The sequence below is a fragment of the Homo sapiens genome, chromosome 16 (assembly GCF_000001405.40).
Source record: "Homo sapiens chromosome 16, GRCh38.p14 Primary Assembly".
Taxonomy (NCBI): Eukaryota; Metazoa; Chordata; class Mammalia; order Primates; family Hominidae; genus Homo; species Homo sapiens.
Genome location: NC_000016.10, coordinates 89,707,134 through 89,728,576, shown reverse-complemented (window position 1 = coordinate 89,728,576; position 21,443 = coordinate 89,707,134). Strand labels below are relative to the sequence as shown.

The window sequence follows — 21,443 nt, the reverse complement described above, 5'->3', positions numbered from 1 at the left end:
CAAAAAATTAGCCGGGCGTGGTGGCGGGTGCCTGTAGTCCCAGCGACTCAGAGGCTGAGGCCGGAGAATGGCGTGAACCCGGGAGGCAGAGCTTGCAGTGAGCCGAGATTGTGCCACTGCACTCCAGCCTGGGCAACACAGCGAGACTCCGTCTCAAATAAAAAAAAAATAAATAAATACAAAACTTAGCTGGGTGTGGTGGCGGGCGCCTGTAATCCCAGCTACTCGGGAGGCTGAGGCGGGAGAATCACTTGAACGCGGGAGGTGGAGTTTGCAGTGAGCTGAGGTCACACCACTGCACTCCAGCCTGGGCAACAGAGTAAGGCTCGGTCTAAAAAAAAAAGTTCACAAAAGGAAAAAAAAAAAAAAAAAAAGATTTGTGGCCTTTATGCTATAACCTCAGCTGCGGTTTTGTGTCCTGGTGGTCCTGAGGACAGTCTTAGCCACCCCAGGTGCCTCCTGGCACCTGCCCGATTTCATCACTGCACATCCCACTGGGATTGGCCCCCAAACTGGGGTGTCCTCATTTGGATGAGGTGCATCTGTGTTGCAGCCAAGGTTTACAGGAGAGGGTGGAAACGGTGCAAACCCCAGCCTGGCACAGCTGCCCTGAATGGCGCTTGGCTCAGAGGCAGGGGTGGCCCAGGGAGTTTGCAGACACTGATGAGGTCCCTTCTGAGGCCCGTCCTCCTGCAACACCTCCTCGCAGAGCCTCGGCTTCAAGCCACAACAGTGTCATAGTCAAGGGCTAAAGTCGGGGTTTCTCTACTCCAGAAACATCTGGAGCGAACACAAAACTATGGCCCTAAAACAGTAGCAGAAGCAAAGGACCCAGCCAGAGTGGTTTCAACAAACTCATTTCTAGGCTGCTCTGGGTCAGAAACCCTATCAGGCTCCCTCTGGAGCTGCCTCAGGTCTGGGAGTGCTCTCTGGCACCCAGGAAACCATCAATCAGAGACAAGAAGCCTCGGAAGCTCCCCAGCCCCTCCTCTCCCGCCACCTCGAGAGGAGGCGTGTCCCAACCAGGGCACGGACAGCCGGCCCCTGTGATGGCTTAGTTTGGTACCAGCGCATGGGCAGCCGACCCTACGATGGCTGTTTGGTTTTTGAAGGAGAAATTTTAGGCTGTTTAAACCCACTCTTCTCTCACCCCTCAGAAAGGTCACTGATGGTTTTTGAAGGAGAAATTTTAGGCTGTTTAAACCCACTCTTCTCTCACCCCTCAGAAAGGTCACTGAACTCGTCTTTTACCCGATCATCCGAGGTTGAAGATGGAAGCTGCTTCTCACCCAACTGCCCTGAGAAACAAAGAACAAGGCTCCTGTTACCAACACGGAGCACAGAAAGGTCTCACCTGCAAGGAGGCATGATTCTACTATTGATGACTAGAAGGGAGACTGGGGTCCCTGACCCTCAAGTTCTCCCCACCATGGCCCCATCCCCACCAAGGGTGCTATGCAGCCTCTGATCCTGCCCTGCCAGCCCAACGTCCAGAAGCACACAGGCAGCAACAAGCATCAGAACCCTCAGGAACAGCAGAACCAGAAAGCCCAGTCCTTCCACTGACTCCGATCCAGTCCTTCTAGGACAGCCTGGACTTGGTGGATGTTCTGAGACATTTAAAAAATTACTAGGCCAGGCACGGTGGCTCATGTCTGTAATCCCAGCACTTTGGGAGGCCGATGCAGGTGGATCACGAGGTCAGGAGATCGAGACCAGCCTGGCCAACGTGGTGAAACCCCATCTCTATTAAAAATACAAAAATTAGCCGGGCATGGTGGCACACACCTGTAATCCCAGCTACCTGGGAGGCTGAGGCAGAAGAATCGCTTGAACCCGGGAGGCAGACATTGCAGTGAGCCGAGATCGCGCACTGCACTCCAGCCTGGGCAAAAGAGCAAGACTCCGACTCAAAAAAATAAAATAATTAAAAATTACTATTCTCAGTCCGGGTGCAGTGGCTCACGCCTGTAATCCCAGCACTTTGGGAGGCTGACGCGGGTGGATCACAAGGTCAGGAGATCAAGACCAACCTGGCTAACATGGTTAAACCCCGTCTCTACAAAAAATACAAAAAATTGAGCTGGGCGTGGTAACTCATGCCTGCAATTCCAGCACTTTGGAGGCCGGGGTGGGCGGATCACCTGAAGTCGGGAGGTCGAGACCAGCCTTACCAACATGGAGAAACCCCATTTCTACTAAAAAATACAAAAATAGCCAGGCATAGTGGTGCATGCCTGTAATCCCAGCTACTCGGGAGGCTGAGGCAGGAGAATCGCTTGAACCTGGGAGGCAGAGGTTGTGGTGAGCTGATATCGTGCCACTGCACTCCAGCCTGGGTAACAAAGAGTGAAACTCCTTCTCAAAACAAATACAAATACAAATACAAAAAAATTAGCAGGGTGTGGTGGCACAAGCCTGTAATCCCAGCTACTCGGGAGGCTGAGACAGGAGAATCACTTGAACCCAGGAGGCAGAGGCTGCAGTGAGCCGAGATTGTGCCACTGCACTCGAGCCTGGGCGACAGAGTGAGACTCCATCAATAAATAAATAATACTGTTCTCTCGGCCAGGCCTGGTGGCGACAGAGCGAGACTCCATAAATAAATAAATAAATATTACTGTTCTCTCGGCCAGGCCTGAAGGTTCATGCTTATAATCTCAGCCTTTTGGGAGGCCAAGGCAGAAGGATCACTTGAAGACAGAAATTCAAGACCAGCCTGGGCAAAAGAGTGAGACCCTGTCTCTACTTAAAATAAGTTTTCTTTGTTTTGTTTTTTTCTTTTTTAGACAGAATCTTGCTCTGTCGGTCAGGCCAGAGCGTAGTGGTAGAATCTCAGCTCACTGCAATCTCCGCCTCCCAGGGTCAAGCGATTCTCCTGCCTCAGCCTCCCAAGTAGCTGGGCCTACAGGCAACCACAGCCACATCCAGCTAATTTTTTGTATTTTTAGTAGAGATGGGGTTTCACCGTGTTAGTCAGGATGGTCTCGATCTCCTGACCCCGTGATCCGCCTACCTCAGCATCCCAGAGTGCTGGGATTACAGGCGTGAACCACTGCACTTGGCCTAAAATAAGTTTTAAAAAGTATTGTTCTTGGCTGGGCGCGGTGGTTCACACCTGTAATCCCAGCATTCTGGGAGGCTGATGCAGGTGGATCACGAGGTCAGGAGTTCAAGACCAAGCCTGGCCAACATGGTGAAACCCCATCTCTACTAAAAATACAAAAATTAGGTGGGCGTAGTGGCGCGTGCCCATCATCCCAGCTACTCGGGAGGCTGAGGCAGGTGGATCACGAGGTCAGGAGTTCGAGACCAAGCCTGGCCAACATGGTGAAACCCCATCTCTACTAAAAATACAAAAATTAGGTGGGCGTGGTGGCACGTGCCCGTCATCCCAGCTACTCGGGAGGCTGAGGCAGGTGGATCACGAGGTCAGGAGTTCGAGACCAAGCCTGGCCCACATGGTGAAACCCCATCTCTACTAAAAATACAAAAATTAGGTGGGCGTGGTGGCATGTGCCTGTCATCCCAGCTACTCGGGAGGCTGAGGTAGCGGTGAGCCAAGATGGCACCACCGCACTCCAGCCTGGGCTACAAAACGAGACTCTGTCTCAAAAATAAATAAACACATAGATAGATAGATAAGTAGGTAAATAAATAGATAAATAGGTAGATAAGTAGATACATAGATATACAGATAGGTAGGTAGATAGAGAGAGACAAAGAAGTAGGAAGATAGATAGGTAGGTAGGTAGATAGATACACAGATAGATAGAATTGTTCTCAACACACTGCATACAAGTTTACAGAGCCAAGCAGCTCTAAGATGTGACACTCACAATCCCGTTCCTACCTGAGGCCCCCGAGCCGCACTGTCTCATCTGTGCACCCGTATCTAGCTAAACTATCTGGGTAGCTGTGTTTCTGTTTGGGACAGAGTCTTGCTCTGTCACCCAGGCTGGAGTACGGTTGTGCGATGTCGGCTCACTGCAACTTCCGCCTCCCAGGCTGAAGTGATTCTCGTGCCTCAGCCTCCAGAGTAGCTGGGATTACAGATGCCCACCACCATACCTGGCTAGTTTTTGTATTTTTATTAGCGATGGGGTTTCGCTATGTTGGCCAGGTTGGTCTTGATCTCGTGACCTCAAGTGATCCACCCACCTCAGCCTCCCAAAGTGCTGGGATTACAGGTAGCTACGCTTTTCGGAAGCTCCCCTCAAGACTCAAAGTGGGAACTGAGTGCTCAGGTGGGGACAGGTGCACAGAGCACACACAGGACAAGAGGCCGGAGGGAAACTGGCCCTGGCCCTCCTAAAACAACATCCAGGAGCAGCTGCACCAGCCCACAGTGCTATGGGTTCTGGGGCCCAAACAAGGGCCTTGTGTTTCCCCTCAGCCTGTCAGCAGAGAAAGCTGCGCCACACTGGCCCACACCAGGGTGTCACCAGGCGGCTGGCTGAGTGCCAGGAAATGACCTGCAGCTGGCCCAGGGCAGCAGCCGCAGAGGCAACGGCCATTCTTTTCTCCCACATCCACAGACAAGGCCCTATTCTTCCCTCTTCCTCAGTCCCCTCAGCCCCAAGCACAGGCTTAGAAAAAGACTCGACGGCTGATGAGCGTGTCTCCACAGAAACTGCTGGAACAGAGCCCTGCTCACAGAGGAGCAAGAGGCGGAGACAGGCTGGCCGCCCCTCCCTGCTCTCTGGATGTGGTGAGCAGCCGCAGGCAGAAGCCCCAAGCTCTGCTCCTTCTCACACCACACCCCAGCCACCACCTAGAGCAGTGGAGACATTCACTTTCTGCTGAAAACCCTGCCCCACTGAGGAGCACACATCCTGGTCTAGCACCAGCAAGAGGTGCCTCCTACCTGGGGCCCTGCAAAGGGGCAGGCTTGGCTGAGGTGGGAAGCCCGACCTGGGCCCCACCGCGTCGCTGTCCGAAGGAGGCTGGGCCACATCCGTGCTGGGCAGGGTCTTGGTCTCAGCCCCAACTGGGGTCCCTGTCCCTCTACCCTGGGAGGTCTGAGGGGCATCCCCAGGGTTCCACCCTCGGTGCTGGGGCAGCCGTGGCGCCGTCTCTTTGTCCCATGGCCACTTGACTGCCAGCGCACTGTCCAGCAAGAAGGCCTTGCAGCTGGAGCTGGTATCCATGGTGTAGTCGTGGCCCTGGTCGCAGCCCCACACGACCTGGATGACGCCGCAGTACTCGGAGGACAGTGTCCTCTGAAGGTGGGGCAGGGCCCCGCAGCTGGCCGCATGTCCATGCACCCACCCCACCAAGCCGTGCAGGCACTGGGGGCTGGATGTGATCAGATCCACTGCAGAGAGTCAACAGAGATGTCAGATCCACGGCTGGTCGGCACCCAGCCCACCCTCCACCGGGGGAGGACTCACCCAGACACGCTCCCTCCTCTGCCCCTGTTGGGGGCTGGGCACCGACCCTGCAAAGGATCAGTGTGGCCATGAGCAGGACAAGCAGGCGGAGGTTCACAGCGCTCGTCGTACGGGACCCTCTCGAGATCTCAAACCTCAGCGGTCCCCATAGGCAACTTTCTCTTCCCTCACCCCAGCTCCTCCCAGTTCATCTCTCCACAACAGTCCCAGGGCTGTTGGCACTGAACCCGGGCATGGCCCATTCCCCCCACCCAGAGGCTCCCGCGGAGGCACGCCCTGTCCCTCTCTCAACACCCGTCACACTGCAGTACTGACAGCCTGAACGTGCTCTGAACAGACTAGGGCGTACTTTGCACAAGGCTTCCGGCGACCAGCCGGGGAGGCGTTGACCCTCTGCAGGAAGGACTTGAGAAGGCTGTGGCACTGGTAGAACTGGGCGTGGCAGCTCTTGCAGACAAACGGAGACAAGGTGGGGTCCTGGCGGACAGCCACACCAAGCAGGCGCTGGAAGTCCCGTACGAGCACGCGCTCCTCTGCGGATGGCCTCTCCATGCTCGCTCCAGGCGCCCTCTCGGAGATGCTGCGCAGGCTTCTCGAGGAAAACTTCCCGTGGCAGAGGCGACAGTGACCCATGGCGAGAGCCCGGCCTGCTCCTGCACAGAGCGGCAGGAAGTGTTAGCAGCTGGCAAAGGAGGCTCCTGAGCACAGGGCGTCCCGGACTCCAGGTCCGAGGGCAGCGCCTGCAGCGCCCTTCGCGCGGCTCCCGGACACAGCAAGCGGCTCGGGCGCGCGGCTCTCGGCGGGACAAGCCGCCCTGTGGGGGATGTGGCCGCTGGTCCAAGAAATCTTTCAAATTTCAAAGGCCTCTAAGGCCTCTCCAGCGAAGCAACTTCAAGAGTGAAACCTGGAACTGCACCCTCCTCCCAGCGACCGCGAGACCCGGGGCAGGCGCTGCGCCCTCCAGGAAACGCCGCGGTTTCCTGTCTGCCAATTGCAGGTGCCGCCTCCTTTCCGGCTCCGCGAGGGCACGAAGCAGGGGAGGGCGATTCCCACGCGCGGGCACCCCAGGGCGACCTGCCCGCGGTGACAGCGCTCCTCACGCCGGGTCCCTTCTGGCCGAGCCCGCGGCCGGGGAGGCCGGGCCGGCGACGCCGGCGTCACGGAGCGCGAGGAAAACCGAGCCGGCCGCCCAGCGCCTATCCCGACGCAGCCCCGAGTCCGCTACGCCCTTGGCCGGGTGGAGGAGAGGCCGCGCCGGCTTCCGGGCGTCAGTGCGGCTCCTCCCACGAGCAACCCCTGCCGCGACCCCAACCCGCCACGCCCGGGCCGCGGACCCACCTGCCTCGTCCGCGCCGTCCTCGCCCGCGTCCCCGCAGGACCCCACCGGGCCCCAGGCGCGCCGCGCCGTCGCCCCGTCCACCCTCGGCCCACCGCTAAGGGAAGGGCGGCCCCGAGTCCGGCTGACGCCGCCGCCGCCGTCCGAGGCCCCGCACTGTCGGGACGACCCAGGAGACAGGAAGCGGCCCAGCCGGTCCCGCTTCATGGCAGCGGAGGACGCCAGCAGAATCCCGCGGGTGCTGCCCGGCCCGAGGTTCCTAGAGGACCCGGCGTTAGGCTCCGCTCGGCGCGCTGGAAGCGAGGCGGGGCGGGGGAGGGGCGGAGCGAGAAGCAAAGCGAGGCGGGCGGGGCGGGCCAGGGGCCAGGGGCGGGACCCCGCCGGCCGAGGTTCCACCCGCGGTGCCAGCGCCCCCGCTCGTACCGCTCCCCTCTCGGGCCCGAGGGCGGCCGTGCCCGCCTCTGTCGCCAATGGAGCGCTGGCCTGGGGCGGGGCGGTGGGCGGAGGGGCTCGCCGACACCTCACGACGAGTCCTCCAGGGAGAGGCGACGCGGCCCTCACCGCCTCTTACCGTGGGAGACGGAGGCGCGGGGCGGGCAGGCGCCGGCGGAGGCCACGCGGCGCGCAGGTGGCGGGCGGGCTGCAGAAAGGGGAGGGGGGCCGGGGTCTCACGTAGAGAGGGGCCTGGCTGCCGCGGTTAGACGCCCATGGCAACTCCGTGAGGGGCCCTTCTCGCCAGCCCCGTCTCAAGACGGCGAAGAGGCCCGGCTCCGTCGCGACAACCCACCCGGACTCTGCCGCCCCCGCCACTAACACCCGTGGGGCCCGCAGTACGCGCGGAGGGGGCCCGTCGCCGGAAGTGCGGCCGCGTCCCTTCCTGCGGTCCGCTGCTCGGGCGGCTCCAGCACCAGCGCCGGCTGCGTTCCGGGCCTCCGGTCGCCCGTCCAGCCCCTCGGCTACCGCCGCCGCCTCCCCCGCTCGGCGCCATGGCCGCTGCGGCCGGGGACGGCACGGTGAAGCCGCTGCAGAGCGCCATGAAGCTTGCCAACGGGGCCATCGAGCTGGACACCGGCAACCGGCCCCGGGTGAGGCGGGGCGGGGGCGGGGCTTGGCCGCTGAGGGTGGCCCCTGGAGGGACCCCCGCCCGGGGAGGGCGAGGACGGGGCCGGCTCGGGCTGGAGACTTGGGAGCGGGCGCCAGCCGGGATCCCGGGCCGCGGTTCCCGGGCGAGGACGGGGGCGGGGCGCAGCCGGGCGTGCAGTGACCTTGGACAGCTCAGATCCTGCGGACCTTGGCTTTCCACTCCGCTCGCTGAGCCGGTGCATCACAGCCTGGGCTCCACCTGTAGAGGAGATGTAGCAGGAGGGTCCGCCAGGCCACCTTCCAAAATCCGAGTGACGGGCAGGTCCGTGCGTTCGTGCATTTTTCTGGGCAGAGATGGTAGATTTAATCCGGTTGCCACAGGGGACGGCATGCAGAGAAGGCCACATACCTGCTCATTTGTGATGCTGTTTGCAGTCGTCTTAGGAAGGAAAAGCAGGCCGGAGGGGTGTGGCCCGTTCCTGAGATGGGGCCGAATCTAAGGTTGGCGACCAGGTAGAGAAGCTGGCCCAGCCACACCCGGCTGCCCAAGGAGGGAAGGAGCCTGCCTGTGCCTAGGAGAAGCCTCGTTCCTGAATCTGCTGCTTTCCCCAAGTTGGTTTTTAGGGCAGCAGGTGCCCCCGCAAGTCAGAAATCCTGCCTGGATTATATTTCGTCTTTCTCTCTGAGGCATAGACTTAAAGATAGGAAACTTAACAGCTAGGGATAAAACAAAAAAACATAGCATATTGCTGGGCGCTGTGGTTCACGCCTGTAATCCTGACACTTTGGGAGGCCCAGGCGGTGGATCACCTGAGGTGAGGAGTTTGAGACCAGCCTGGCCAACGTGGTGAAACCCCGTCTCTACTAAAAATACAAAAATTAGCTGGGTGTGGCGGTGCACACCTGTAATCCTAGCTCCTTGGGAGGCTGAGGGATGAGAATCACTTGAACCCAGGAGGCGGAGGTTGCAGTGACTCGAGATCCTGCCACTGCACTCCAGCCTGGGCGACAGAGTGAGACTCTGTCTCAACAAAACAAAACAAACCACCATTCTGTGGTTCCAATGACCTGTGCCTTGTCAGAGGGGTCACACAGCCTTGAAAGGTAACAGTTCTAGGCTCCTGTGTGCACTGGAAATACGTAACTCGCAGGTTCTGGGAAAGGGATTTCTCGGAACTTAAACCGGGAAGTGATTTGAAAACTTCCAGTATCACTCCCTTTATCCTCTCAGAAAAGTATTTTTTTAAGCCACTGAATGAATCACCCTTGAGTTGCACAAGAAGGAAACATTGCATAGAATGAAAAATGACAGCAAACTGCTGAGGTCACTTCCCCAGGCCCACTGAATGAGAATATCAGTTCCTGTGCTGGAGAGAAAGGCAGTCAGAGGAGAAAATGAGGTCCAGCTCGTCCCTGGCTCTCTCTCTCTCTCAGGTCCTGATGTCTTTTCCAAGTCTGGAGAGCAGCGATGCTGCCTGTGCCCTGCGCAGAAAACCGTGTTCCGGCTGCAGCTAACCACCGCAGGCTCAATGTCTCTGGGTGTATCTCAGAGATAAGCAGGTGGTGGTGTTCCTTGCTTATCCCACAAGGGCACCTGGCCGGAATAATGGAGTCACTTCCCTCCACTGGCCTGACCCCACTCTTTCTCTTTCCTGGACACAGGAGGCATACACGGAATACCTGAGGAGCATCCACTATATCTCCCAGGTGTTACTAGAAGAAGTGGAAACCACTAAAGGTACGGCTCAGCCAGCCGGGCGCGGTGGCTCACGCCTGTAATCCCAGCACTGTGGGAGGCAGAGGCGGGCTATCACCTGAGGTCAGGAGATCGAAACCATCCTGGCTAACATGGTGAAACCCCGTCTCTACTAAAAATCTAAAAAATCAGCTGGGCCTGGTGGCGGGTGTCTGTAGTCCCAGCTACTCGGGAGGCTGAGGCAGGAGAATTGCTTGAACCCGGGAGCAGAGGTTGCAGTGAGCCGAGATCACCCCATTGTACTCCAGCCTGGAACAAGAGCGAAACTCCGTCTCAAAAAAAAAAAAAAGAAAAGAAAAAGAAAAAGGCATGGCTGAGCCCTGCTGCTTCCTCCATGCTGGACAAATTGTGGGCATCCTAGCCCTTGATGGGTGCCAGGCTTCGGCGGGGGTCTCTTGTATCCTTCTAGCCTGACCATTTGTAGTAGGTGGACCAGCCCACACTCAGTGTGATATAGTGGCAGGAAGGGACCAGCGTTGTGGATAAGAAGATGGAGACTGGGGTGTGGCAAGACACTGGCTCCAGTGAGCGGCACAGACGTGGGGCAGCATTCCAGCTGTGGGGTGTGCAAAGGCCCTGAAATAGGAGTGGGCGGGGTGGGGCTGTGTGCATGCCTTGGGTGGAACTGGGGCCGTTCTGGTGTGCAGGGAAACTTGAAGAGACTTTGAGCTTTGAGGGAGAGGACAGCCTGGGAGTGGAGCCTCAGGTGAGGACTGAGGATGGCAGTGGCCAGACCACCCAGGATGGGAGCAGTAAACGGCCTCGGGGTGCGTCCTGAAGGTGGAACAGAGCAGACTTGCAGGAGGCAGATGGGGCAGGAGCAAACTGGCAAGGAGAGGAATAGCAAGTTCCGCAATGAACACATTAAGTTTGAGAGGCCAGCAGCCGCTGCACAAAGGATCACAGAGGTCAGGGGGAGCCACTGGACATAGAGCACAGAGGTCAGGGGGAGCCACTGGACGTGGGATCACAGAGGTCAGGGGGACCCACTGGACGTGGGAGCACAGAGGTCGGGGGAGCCACTGGACGTGGGAGCACAGAGGTCGGGGGAGCCACTGGACGTGGGAGCACAGAGGTCGGGGGAGCCACTGGACGTGGGATCACAGAGGTCGGGGGAGCCCCTGGACGTGGGATCACAGAGGTCGGGGCAGCCACTGGACGTAGGATCACACAGGTCAGGGGGAGCTAACAGTTGCCCCAGCTCCCTAGGGAGCCGGTGAGCTCGGCTGAGCTCTGGCGCTCCAAGATTGAGGAGTTGGGTGGAGGAGTGGCAGAGGATCCCCTGGGGAGAGCAAAGTCCCAGAAGACAGAGGAACTCCAGTGGCCCACCGTGTCTGGCAAGGTGGGGACGGGTAAGGGCAGTTTCCGGGGGGAGTCGGGGGCTAAATCGGGGCGGGATGAGAAAATGGGAGTCTATGAGAAGTTTTCTGTGAAGGGCAGCAGGGAGGTGGGTCAGGCGCTGGGGCGGTGGGTCCAGGGGCGAGTCACAGAGAGGCAGCTCCCACGGCGCGCAGAAGGGCTGTGTGAGCAGGTCCATGGTCGCGCAGAGGTGCTCCATGCCAAGCTACGGGAAGGCAGGACTTTGGGGACACAGCCGGTGGGAGATGGGTGAGGCGATCCCCTCAGCACGTCCTTGTCTCTGTAAAACGGCCACTTCCCAGAGGCCTGCAGTTGCAAGTGAAGCTGAGTGAGCACTAAAGGCCTGTTTAGGGTCGAGGCTGTGACGGGCCTCGATGAGGGGCCCACAGCCTTAGCAGACTCAGGAGGCAAAACCAGGGCAGATGATTAGAAATGCGTGGGTGGGGGGACTTGCCTGGGGTCCATGGTGGGGGCAGGGGCCTTGCCTGGGGTCCATGAGGAATAGTCGGCTTGCCCGGGGTCAGTGGGGGGTGGAAGGGGCAGTGGGCTTACCCGGGGTGAGGGGATGGGGGGGCAGTGGGCTTGCCTAGGGTCAGTCAGTTGGGGGACGGGAGGGGCAGTGGGCTTACCCGGGGTGAGGGGATGGGGGGGCAGTGGGCTTGCCCAGGGTCAGTGAGGGGATGGGGGGGCAGTGGGCTTGCCCGGGGTCAGTGGGGGTGCTGAGGGGGGCAGTGGGCTTGCCTGCCTTTTCCGTTGCCTCATTTTATCTCAGCAGTAAGTAACAGTGGTAGAGCCGACTGTGACCAGCCTTCTTGTCCCTCCCCCAGAAGCTGGGGAAACTGTGCCCCCCGACACCTCCAAGATGCTGAAGCTAGCACAGCAGTGTCTGGAGAGGGCCCAGTCGACGGCCGCCAAGCTTGGTGGGTCTCCTGCAGTAGGCGGCTCTCCTGGGGCATCCCCCAAGCCCGCATCTCCTCTGTGGGATGTGGCCCACCGCTTGACCCCTGGTTACCCATGGCTTGCAGGGAAAACACGCCTGAAGCCAACCATGCCTGCAGCTGCTCCCATTCCCCAGCCTGCCGGCCGACACCGCCGTGTATACTCCGATGAAGGAGGAAAGCTCTCTCCTTTTCTGCCACCCGAGATCTTCCAGAAGCTTCAGGGGGCAGAGTCACAAAGCTGTAAGAAGTAAGATGGACAAGATGGGAGGTGGGATGAGCCTGGGATTGGGTTTTTGAGGCTGAGAAAGATGAGCTGATGACAGCGATTTTTTTTTTGTTTTTTGAGACAGAGTCTCACTCTGTCACCCAGGCTGGAGTGCAGCGGCTCAATCTTGGCTCACGGCAACCTCCACCTCCCGGGTTCACACCATTCTTCTGCCTCAGCCTCCCAAGTAGCTGAGACTACAGGCGCCCACCACCACACCCAGCTAATTTTTTGTATTTTTAGTAGAGACGGGGTTTTGCCATGTTAGCCAGGATGGTTTCGATCTCCTGACCTCGTGATGCGCCTGCCTCGGCCTCCCACAGTGCTGGGATTACAGCGTGAGTCACCGCGCCCGGCCCCCACAGTGCTGGGATTACAGGCATGAGCCACTGCGCCTGGCCTGACAGCGAATGTTTTTAAAATGAGTCCCAGAATGGGAATATCCCCTGGCCGGACACAAGCAAATGCAGGCGGCCTGGTGGCTCACGCCTGTAATCCCAGCACTGTAGGAGGCCGAGGCGAGCAGATCACCTGAGGTCAGGAGTTCCTGACCAGCCTGGCCAACATGGTAAAACCCCGTCTTTACTAAAAATACAAAAATTAGCTGGCCGTGGTGGTGTGCACCTGTAATCCCAGCTACTCAGGAGGCTGAGTCCAGGAGAATCGCTTGATCCTGGAAGGTGGAGGTTGCAGTGAGCGAAGATTGTGCCACTGCACTCCAGCCTGGGCAACAAGAGTGAAACTCCGTCTCAAAAAAAATTAGGCATAGTGGTGTGCCCCTGTAGTCCCAACTACTAGGGAGGCTGAGGTGGGAGGCTCACTTGAGCCTGACAGGTTGAGGGTGCAGTGAGCCGTGATTGTGCCAGTGCACTCCAGCTTGGGCAACAAAATGAGACTCTGTCTAAAAAAAAAAAAAATGACCGGGCGCGGTGGCTCACGCCTGTAATCCCAGCACTTTGGGAGGCCGAGGTGGGTGGATCATGAGGTCAGGAGATCGAGACCATCCTGGCCAACAAGGTGAAACCCCATCTCTACTAAAAATACAAAAAATTAGCTGGGCGTGGTGGCGGGCACCTATAGTCCCAGCTACTCAGGAGGCTGAGGCAGGAGAATCCCTTGAACCCAGGAGGCAGAGGTTGCAGTGAGTTGAGATTGCGCCACTGCATTCCAGCCTGGGCGACAGAGCAAGACTCCATCTCAAAAAAAAAAAAAAAAAAATTTAGCTGGGAACAAGGATGAGTTATATATCTATATATATGTAGAAATCCATACATACAAAACTGAGCAGACAAGTTTATAACAGCAGAGCAGATATAGCTGAAGAGCAAATTCATGTATTGGAAAAAAGGTCAAAAGATAGCTAGAATGAATTACAGAAACAAAAAATAAAGACAGAAAACAAGAGATGGAAAGCCTAACGTGTTCGTTGGAGTTCCAGAAAGAAAATGGGAGGGAGGCCAAGGCAGGCAGATCACAAGGTCAGGAGTTCAAGACCAGCCTGGCTAACATGGTGAAACCCCATCTCTACTAAAAATACAAAACTTAGCTGGGCATGGTGGCGCGTGCCTGTAACCCCAGCTACTTGGGAGGCTGAGGCAGGAGAATCGCTTGAACCCAGGAGGTGGAGGTTGCAGTGAGCCAAGATCGTGCCACTGCACTCCAGCCTAGCAACAGAGCGAGACTCCGGCTCAAAAAAAAAGAAGAAAGAAAATGGGAGAGAGGCATTATTAGAAGTTAGAATGGCAGACAGTTGTCTAGAACTGATGAAAGATACAAAGACACAAATGCAAAAAGCCCAGTGACTCCCAAGTGGGAGAGACGAGAAGGGTCCACTCCTCCTGCCCCTGCTCTGGCGGGGCCTGGCTTCCCAGTCCCCTTGTTTCTGCAATGTGGCTTCAGGGCAGGGTGGCCAGGCGTCAGGCTCTGACTTTCCTCCTTGTCCTCCATTGTCCCTGACAGTGGGAAGGTACGAGGGAACAAAGCTTTCAAGGTGGAGTGGCTGTTGGGAACTGTATAAAGGAGACAGGACACTTCTTCCTTTCATGGGTCACAGACTAATCTGGCTGTTTGACCCACATAGTGCCTTTAAAGCAGGGGTGTCCAATCTTTTGCCTTCCCTGGGCCACACTGGAAGAATTGTCTTGGGCCACACATAAAATACGCTAACACTAACAACAGCCGATGAGCTTAAAAAAAAAAATTGCAAGGCTGGGCGCAGTGGCTCCCGCCTGTAATCCCAGCACTTTGGAAGGCCAAGGCGGGCAGATTACCTGAGGTCAGGAGTTCGAGATCAGCCTGGCCAACATGATGAAACCCCATCTCTACTAAAAAATACAAAAATTAGCTGGGCGTGGTGTCACATGCCTGTAATCCCAGCTACTCGGGAGGCTGAGGCAGGAGAATCACTTGAACCCAGGAGGCGGAGGTTGCAGTGAGTTGAGATTGTGTCACTGCACTCCAGCCTGGGCGACAGAATGAGACTGACTCAAAAAAAAAAATTTTGCAAAAAAACCTCAGTGATTTTTTGAGACAGAGTCTCTATCACCCAGGCTGGAGCACAGGCACATGCCACCACACCCGGCTAATTTTTTGTATTTTTAATAGAGACGGGGTTTCACCATGTTAGCCAGGATGGTCTCAATCTCCTGACCTCATTATCCGCCTGCCTCATCCTCCCAAAGTGCTGGGATTACAGGCGTGAGCCACCGTGCCCAGCCCTCAGTGATGTTTTAAGAAAGTTTAGGAATTTGTGTTGGGCCACATTCGAAGTCATACAGCCTCGGATTGTTGCACAAGCTTGCTTTAACAAGATTCATACTGTTGCCAAACACATATAACGGATCTCCATAGAAGTCCAGTGGTCCAGCTTCTCTTGAAAAACCAAAAGTCCGGCCGGGCGCGGTAGCTCACGCCTGTAATCCCAGTACTTTGGGAGGCCGAGGCGGGTGGATCACGAGGTCAGGAGATCAAGACCATCCTGGTTAATGCGGTGAAACCCCGTCTCTACTAAAAATACAAAAAATTAGCCGGGCATAGTGGCGGGCACCTGTAGTCCCAGCTACTCAGGAGGCTGAGGCAGGAGAATGGCATGAACCCGGGAGGCGGAGTTTGCAGTGAGCCGAGATTGCGCCACTGCGCTCCAGCCTGGGCGACAGAGCGAGACTCCGTCTCAAAAAAAAAAAGAAAAAAAGAAAAACCAAAAGTCCTGGCAATACCAAAACCTGTGTTTTCTTTCTTTTTGTTATTTTTTGTTTTGGTTTTGTTTTTTTGAGACAGAGTCTCACTCTATCACCCCAGCTGGAGTGCAGTGGCCAGATCTCGGCTCACTGCATCACCTCCCGGGATCAAGCTATTCTGCCTCAGCCTCCCGAGTAGCTGGGATTACAAGTGTGCACCATGCCCAGCTAATTTTTGTATTTTTAGTAGAGACAGAGTTTCACCATGTTGGCCAGGCTGGTCTCGAACTCCTGACCTCAGGTGATCCGCCCGGCCTTAGCCTCCTAAAGTGCTGGCATTAGAGGCGGGAGCCACTGCACCTGGCCAAAACCTGTGTTTTGGAAGGGCAGGCAAGAAGGGGCAGATGTTGCAGCCCACCCCAGATGGCTCCCCTCCTCTTTCTCCTCACCTCCTGGCCTCAGAGCAATCCGGGAGGATGAGAGAGACTCCTCTGGTGTCCAGACACCACTGGGCTTCCTGGGGTCTAGACAGCAGCTTGTCACATTTCCAGAGAGCTGACGCCACTGGAGGAGGCCTCCCTGCAGAATCAGAAGCTGAAGGCTGCGTATGAGGCCCGAATGGCGCGGCTAGACCCCAGCCAGGCCATGCAGAAGACATCCCTGGTGAGTGGGGGCTAGGGAGGGCCTGGGGGTGCGTGGGCGCGGGGCAGAGGGGAGTCGGCCTTACTCCCTCCTCCCCCCCCAGACCCTCTCTCTACAGCGGCAGATGATGGAGAACCTAGTGATTGCCAAAGCCCGGGAGGAGACAGCAGCCTTTCTGACCGCCCTGGTGGTCCCCGAGGGGAAACTCAGTGTGGCCTTGAGCCAAGGGCAGAGAAGGGGGCAGCGAGGGGAGCGGAGGTTCCGGGGTCGGGGTACAGGGCCGAGGGGCTCCCCGCTTTGCAGAGGCAGGGTCTCAGGGGAAGGCCCGGCCGCCGTCCCCCATGTTCTCTGGCCCGGCCCTCCTGGCTTGAGCGCAGGCTGCCTTCTGCCCCAGAAGCCTTACCTGGGGACAGCCCCTCACCGAGAGGAGGTCCCTGGGACGTCCCGGCCTCTCCGGGTGTGGGACGGGGTTGGGAACCGAGGGCCCGCTCAGATCCCACGCTCGGCCCCTTGACTCTGCACCCAGCTCCAGAGAAAGATGGAGGAGCGCCGGCTGCGGCTCCAGGAGGCCGCCAACAGGTGGGACTCCTGCCCGCCCCTGGGGCCGCTGCGGGGAGGGCCTGGCCCCGGCACCCACCGCGTGCCTTTCTCCCCAGGAGGTTTTGCAGCCAAGTCGCCCTGACCCCGGAGGAACGGGAGCAGCGGGCCCTTTACGCCGCCATCCTGGAGTACGAACAGGACCATGTGCGTCCCCCACGGGCCCAGGCTTTGTAGGAGGAGCCCAGCGAGGGGGGCGGGGTCAGAGCCGCCTGGGTGGGCCCCCGTGGGGGGCGGAGCCAGAGGCTGTGGGGGGCAGTGAGGGGGCGGGGCCAGAGGCCCGTGGGAGGGCCCGGTGAGGGGGCGGGGCCAGGGCTGCGTGGGGCGGGGCAGAGCGAGGAGGCGAGGTCAGGGGTCGCGTGGGAGGGTCCCAGCGAGGAGGGAGGGTCCCTGCGAGGAGGGAGGGTCCCAGCGAGGGTGCAGGCCCAGGGTTCGCCTAAGGTTTCCCTCGGGTGTGGGTGGGGGCGGGGGCGGGTCGCGGGGCCTGCTGGCGCTGGGTCTCCTGCACCCCAGGACGGGCTCCCACAGTCTCTAGGGGTCGGCACTGGTGGGAGATGAGGCGCGTCCGGTCGTGGCGGACCCACCGTGCTTTCCTTCAAGGCCCCCTGTCCCGTAGGACTGGCCGAAGCACTGGAAGGCCAAGCTCAAGAGGAATCCGGGGGACCTGTCACTCGTGACCAGCCTGGTCTCACACCTGCTCAGGTAGCTGGGCCTTCAGGCCCCACAGAGCCCCTGCGCACCGGCCTTGGGCACCTCTGCCTGGTGCCAGGTGCCGGAGAGGGGCTGGACTGACACAGGGAGCCTGTGCCCGGCCACGTGGACACTGCAGCTCCCTTTGCGCTGAGGGCGTTTCCTCGGCTTCTCCAACCTCCCCAGCGGGGGCGGGGGGCAGACTTTCCAACATTCACTGTCAGGAGGTAATGCAAGTCGCTTCTCTGAAACCGGGCATAGCGCGGCACCTGTGGATGCCACGGAGAGGCCGAGGCTGGCCGCGTTCTCACGTCCTCTTCTCCCGCAGCCTCCCCGACCACCCGATCGCGCAGCTCCTGAGGCGGCTGCAGTGCTCCGTGTACAGCGCCCTGTATCCCGCCGTGAGCAGAGCAGCCGCGCCAGCCCCAGGCTGCTGCCCCCCGACCCCCAACCCCGGAAGCCGACGGCTGCGGCCCTCGCAGAGCCTCCATTGCATGCTGTCCCCGCCCGAGCCCAGCGCAGCCCCGCGGCCCCAGGACAGTCCCCCCACGCCCCCACTCCAACCCGGCCCCGTGGGGTCTCCCTCACCCCTGGGGGACACCGCATCTGGATTGCCAGACAAGGACAGCTCGTTCGAGGACCTGGAGCAGTTCCTGGGGACGTCTGAGCGGCAGGGCCGGGGCCGTGGGGTACAGCCGGAGCCCCAGCTGCAGCAGCTGAAGACCGCGGTGGAGGAGATCCACAATGCCGTAGGTGAGGCCAGGCCCTCCCTGGGAGAGCCGCCGCAGCTCTTCACCCCTGCTTATTGGTCCGTTTCAAGCTTCTGTTTGGGGAAGGGTCTGTTGATCAGAGACTCTGATCAGACTTACATCCACCCAGCTCACGCCTCAGCCCTTCTCATTTTGGAAACAGTGTGGTAGAAACGGAGTTTCACCATGTTGGTCAAGCTGTTCTCAAACTCCTGACCTCAGTTGATCTGCCCACCCCGGCCTCCCAAAGTGCTGGGATTACAAGCATGAGCCACCGCGCCCAGCCCAGAGTTTTCTAAGAACCACTGAGGGAGGCCCAACAGTCCAGGCGTCATTCTCACTGTGCTGCCCACACACTAAGGAACTTGGTCAGGGTCCCCACCCACAGGGGGTTGGATCTAAAGTCTTCCCTGGTTCCTGCAGTTTTGGGTAAAGCCCCTTTTGAGAAAAGGATCATTCTCCGGTTTCTTCTCAGGCTGCTGGCCCAACAGGGCAGCAGCTGTAGGTGACCGTTTCCAGTCCCGGACTCCCTGCCCTGGGCCGAGGAGGGTCAGGGGTGGGTGCAGGAGGCTTGAAGGCGGTGGAAAGAGGTTTCTTGGGCGGAGAAAGGCCCCGTGGCTTAGAGCCACTTGACCCAGCAGGGGAGGAGCCTCTGTGGACGTCCCCGGCTCTGTTCCTAGCAGACAGGCTGCTCTCGCTGACCCTTCTGGCCTTCGAAGGCCTAAACACAGCTGCCTCCAAGGACCGCTGCCTGGCCTGCATTGAGGAACCCTTTTTCTCCCCGCTGTGGCCTCTGCTGCTGGCCCTGTACAGGTATGGACCCAGCTGTACAACCACCTGCGTGGCCTAGTGTCTTCCAGCCCAGTCCCCCAGGAGGCCTGCCCTGCTCCCTGGCACTGTCTGCTCCCCTCCATCCCCAAGACTCGTGTTTGCTCCCCCTAGCCTGTGCTTTACCCTGAGGCCATCCTCAGGGGCTTCCAGTTTGCAGGTAGGATTATTGCCACTCTCCCGTGCCTGGGGTCTTGGCAACGCTGGGGCTTTTTGCTTGAGATACATAGCCAGTTTTCTCCAGGACTGAGCTCCAGCCACAGCCCTGCTTCTGTCCCCAGGGCAAGGTCCCTGGGGCAGCTTAGCCTGGCCTCTCTCTGCCCCAGGAGCGTGCACCGAGCCCGGGAGGCTGCCCTGAGCAGGAGCATGGAGCTCTACAGGAATGCACCCCCCACCGCCATTGGCATCCCCACCAAGCTCCTCCCCCAGAACCCTGAGGCCAAGGGGGCCACTGGCTACCCCTACTGCGCGGCGGCCCAGGAGCTCGGACTGCTGGTCCTGGAGAGCTGCCCCCAGAAGAAGCTGGAGTGCATAGGTCAGCAGGTTCGAGAGTCAGGGGGAGGGACAGGCTCCCATCCCAGTAGGTGACCTGGAGCCTGTGTCTTCACCACTGAGCTTCTCTTGTCACGTGCCGGTGGGGAGGTTGGGGGACCAGAACAAAAGTGGTGTCTGAGCAACATCGCCAGGGTCACCGTGGCTCTTCCCAGCCGTGCACATCAGGAGGTGGGTGGGTGGGCGGGGTATAAGGGGTGGCTCAGGCTGCTGGACGGGGTTAACTGCCCCTGAAACCCTGTCTGGGGCGCAGTGCGGACCCTGCGGATCATCTGTGTCTGTGCGGAAGACTACTGCCCCACCCCAGAGGCCACACCCCAGGCCGGGCCCCCGCCCATCGCTGCAGCTGCCATGTGAGTCCCAGGAGGGCGAGGTGTGGCCAGGGAGGAAGGGCCCTAGAAAGGCAATGGTCACGGGAGGGACTATCTTCCTGCCCCTTAGCCTTGTGCCAGCTGGCTGCACTGTAGAAGCAGGAGGGCCGTGTGGGCCCAGCCCTGGCTCCGCAGTACGGGAGCTCCCTTTAGGGACAGCCTCACCATGCCCAGCTGCCTTCCGGTGCCTCTGCGCAGAAGGGCACAGAGATGGCGGCCAGCACGGCCAGGATGGCTCCACAGCTGCTGGGTTTGCGGAGTGAGAGGCTCCTGGCCCCAACCCAAGGCCGCTATGCCCTCCCGACAGTGGTGCCGATGACCTGCTGCCCATCCTGTCCTTCGTGGTGCTGAGGAGCGGCCTCCCTCAGCTGGTGTCGGAGTGCGCGGCCCTGGAGGAGTTCATCCACGAGGGGTAGACCCTGGCGGGTCAGGGTGGGGGTCTCTGTGCGAAGAGCAGGGACCTCATCCCTCAACCTAAACGGTGGTTGTCAGTAGCAGCTGGGGAGGGTAGCGTGTGGCTCCGTCACAGCCATGCCTTCGGGCAGCCCCTGTGGGTCCACCTGTGCAGAGTGCCTGCTGCCACATGTCCCGTGGCCCTTCGCTTAGCTCAGCCTCTCCCAGACAGCAGGAGCTGGGGGCTGTCCCCTGAGCAGCATCTGCCTGGGGAGGGGATAAGGATCCAGTGCCATCCCTGGCTCTACCGTCCAAGGACGAGCACATAGTGGGTGGGAAAGGCCTCCTCTAGCCCAGCCGCCCTGACAGCCCCACCTGCCCACCCTCAGCACCCAGGTCCTGAACTGGGAGGGCAGACACTACCTTCTGGAGGGCCGGGGGTATCCTTCTGTTCGTTCAGATGACACCGGCTGCCCCTGCCATCCATGCAGGTACCTGATCGGAGAGGAGGGCTACTGCCTCACATCACTGCAGAGTGCCCTGAGCTACGTGGAGCTGCTGCCCCGGGGAGGCCTGGCCAAGTAGTACAGCTAGAGCCCAGGGTCCCTGCAGGGCCTGGCCTCGCCTCCCAGGGCTGTCTCTCCTACACCTGGAGCCATGGGATCTACTGAGGACCATCCTGGAGCCTCACGCTGCTCTGCACATGGTGGGGGCTTGTCCACTGTGGTGTGCTCTCCAGCTCTTCACCTTCCTCACCTCACATCTGACCCTGGAGCTTGGGGTTGGCACCTCTGCCCCGACAGAATGGGGCTGAATCAGCTCCAGGAGGAACCAGGCCCTGCTCTCCTGTGTAGGCCTCAGAGAGGCCAAGAAGGGAAGCTTTGGGCTTCGGTGGGTGCAGGCTCAGCGATGAACATCTGGCTGGGGCAGCTCCTGGGGAGCATCAGGGAAGAGGGGGCCATGAGCCGGCCAGCAGTGGAGACGGCAGTCCAGTTTCTCTCCCCTCTGACCCCTAGAAGGGGAGTTGTAGCCCCATGAACTAGTTTCTTGTCTGGGTCAGGAACAAGGGCCGGCTGGGGCCTGGGGTGCAGCTGGTGTCAGGGTATGCTGTTTGCTGATGGGCAGGGACACCCCTGCAGGGTCTCGGGCTCTGAGCCCAGGACATTCCCTGCCCCTTACTCACCTTGGCTGTGGGCTGTGAACATTCCGGGACCCTGGGCATCTTATCTAGGTCCGTGCAGCCCAAGGGTCAGCCCTCTTGACTGTCACATGCTGCCCCCACCCAGCCTAAAATAAAGAGCTCACTGCTGTG

At 59.3% G+C, this 21,443-nt stretch overlaps 2 protein-coding genes and 1 long non-coding RNA gene across 26 annotated transcripts in view, besides 7 other annotated features; 1 reads left to right on the top strand and 2 right to left on the bottom strand.

The window, feature by feature from the left end:
* The window catches only part of ZNF276 (zinc finger protein 276), a 20,558-nt gene extending 12,349 nt beyond the window's left edge, over positions 1–8,209 (bottom strand). For 3 of the 14 annotated variants that reach the window (NM_001113525.2, XM_047434902.1, XM_017023889.2), the window contains exons 1-5: positions 6,732–7,040; positions 5,743–6,046; positions 5,394–5,440; positions 4,868–5,317; positions 1,220–1,298 (exon numbers count right to left, since the gene is read on the bottom strand). In NM_001113525.2, coding sequence (NP_001106997.1) covers positions 1,220–1,298; positions 4,868–5,317; positions 5,394–5,440; positions 5,743–6,046; positions 6,732–6,936 — 1,085 coding nt within the window. In that variant the 5' untranslated portion in view covers positions 6,937–7,040. Of the gene's footprint in view, positions 1–1,150; positions 1,299–4,867; positions 5,318–5,393; positions 5,441–5,742; positions 6,047–6,731; positions 7,041–7,300; positions 7,576–7,994 lie in introns of those variants that run through there. The other 11 variants (NR_110122.2, NM_152287.4, NR_110129.2 and 8 more) reach the window with 8 other exon arrangements.
* Positions 6,413–6,872: a silencer, noted in NCBI's record as "silent region_7924". NCBI's record gives its function as "represses an Ori minimal core promoter by ATAC-STARR-seq in GM12878 lymphoblastoid cells {active_cell/tissue: GM12878}" and the evidence as "EXISTENCE:reporter gene assay evidence [ECO:0000049][PMID:35858748]".
* Positions 6,953–8,072: a silencer, noted in NCBI's record as "silent region_7923". NCBI's record gives its function as "represses an Ori minimal core promoter by ATAC-STARR-seq in GM12878 lymphoblastoid cells {active_cell/tissue: GM12878}" and the evidence as "EXISTENCE:reporter gene assay evidence [ECO:0000049][PMID:35858748]".
* Positions 7,679–21,443, top strand: VPS9D1 (VPS9 domain containing 1). 11 transcript variants are annotated; one of them, XM_047434932.1, is made up of 15 exons: positions 7,679–7,814; positions 9,475–9,550; positions 11,758–11,847; positions 11,953–12,115; positions 15,861–15,972; positions 16,055–16,117; positions 16,478–16,530; positions 16,608–16,695; positions 17,165–17,250; positions 17,567–17,991; positions 18,671–18,800; positions 19,142–19,350; positions 19,621–19,720; positions 20,046–20,150; positions 20,623–21,443. In XM_047434932.1, exons 1-15 carry the CDS (start codon positions 7,716–7,718, stop codon positions 20,714–20,716), a joined length of 1,893 nt encoding a protein of 630 aa, XP_047290888.1. In that variant the 5' UTR covers positions 7,679–7,715; the 3' UTR covers positions 20,717–21,443. The 11 variants fall into 11 exon arrangements, with proteins under 11 accessions (XP_047290888.1, XP_011521778.1, XP_047290887.1 ...); XM_011523476.4 differs by having other exon boundaries at positions 18,668–18,800; XM_047434931.1 differs by having other exon boundaries at positions 18,629–18,800.
* Positions 9,298–9,467: an enhancer, noted in NCBI's record as "experimental_46687 CRE fragment used in MPRA reporter constructs". NCBI's record gives its function as "activates a minimal promoter by MPRAs in K562 erythroleukemia cells, with activity observed for both the introgressed and non-introgressed 16:89785603 or rs79957186 variant alleles {active_cell/tissue: K562}" and the evidence as "EXISTENCE:reporter gene assay evidence [ECO:0000049][PMID:34662402]".
* Position 9,382: a transcriptional cis regulatory region, noted in NCBI's record as "Neanderthal adaptively introgressed variant 16:89785603 (GRCh37/hg19 assembly coordinates) or rs79957186 in the experimental_46687 CRE". NCBI's record gives its function as "modulates activity of the experimental_46687 enhancer by MPRAs in K562 erythroleukemia cells {active_cell/tissue: K562}" and the evidence as "EXISTENCE:reporter gene assay evidence [ECO:0000049][PMID:34662402]".
* Positions 10,412–16,721, bottom strand: VPS9D1-AS1 (VPS9D1 antisense RNA 1). Its single transcript, NR_036480.1, has 4 exons — positions 16,355–16,721; positions 15,759–15,888; positions 11,673–12,106; positions 10,412–11,233 (listed from the first exon to the last, which is right to left on the bottom strand). It is a non-coding gene; the product is annotated as a VPS9D1 antisense RNA 1 (long non-coding RNA).
* Positions 15,730–15,829: an enhancer, noted in NCBI's record as "active region_11419". NCBI's record gives its function as "activates an Ori minimal core promoter by ATAC-STARR-seq in GM12878 lymphoblastoid cells {active_cell/tissue: GM12878}" and the evidence as "EXISTENCE:reporter gene assay evidence [ECO:0000049][PMID:35858748]".
* Positions 16,470–16,889: a silencer, noted in NCBI's record as "silent region_7922". NCBI's record gives its function as "represses an Ori minimal core promoter by ATAC-STARR-seq in GM12878 lymphoblastoid cells {active_cell/tissue: GM12878}" and the evidence as "EXISTENCE:reporter gene assay evidence [ECO:0000049][PMID:35858748]".
* Positions 17,327–17,890: an enhancer, noted in NCBI's record as "H3K27ac-H3K4me1 hESC enhancer chr16:89777095-89777658 (GRCh37/hg19 assembly coordinates)". NCBI's record gives its function as "activates a minimal SCP1, AML or CMV promoter by ChIP-STARR-seq in naive and primed H9 embryonic stem cells {active_cell/tissue: H9 hESC(naive and primed)}" and the evidence as "EXISTENCE:reporter gene assay evidence [ECO:0000049][PMID:30033119]".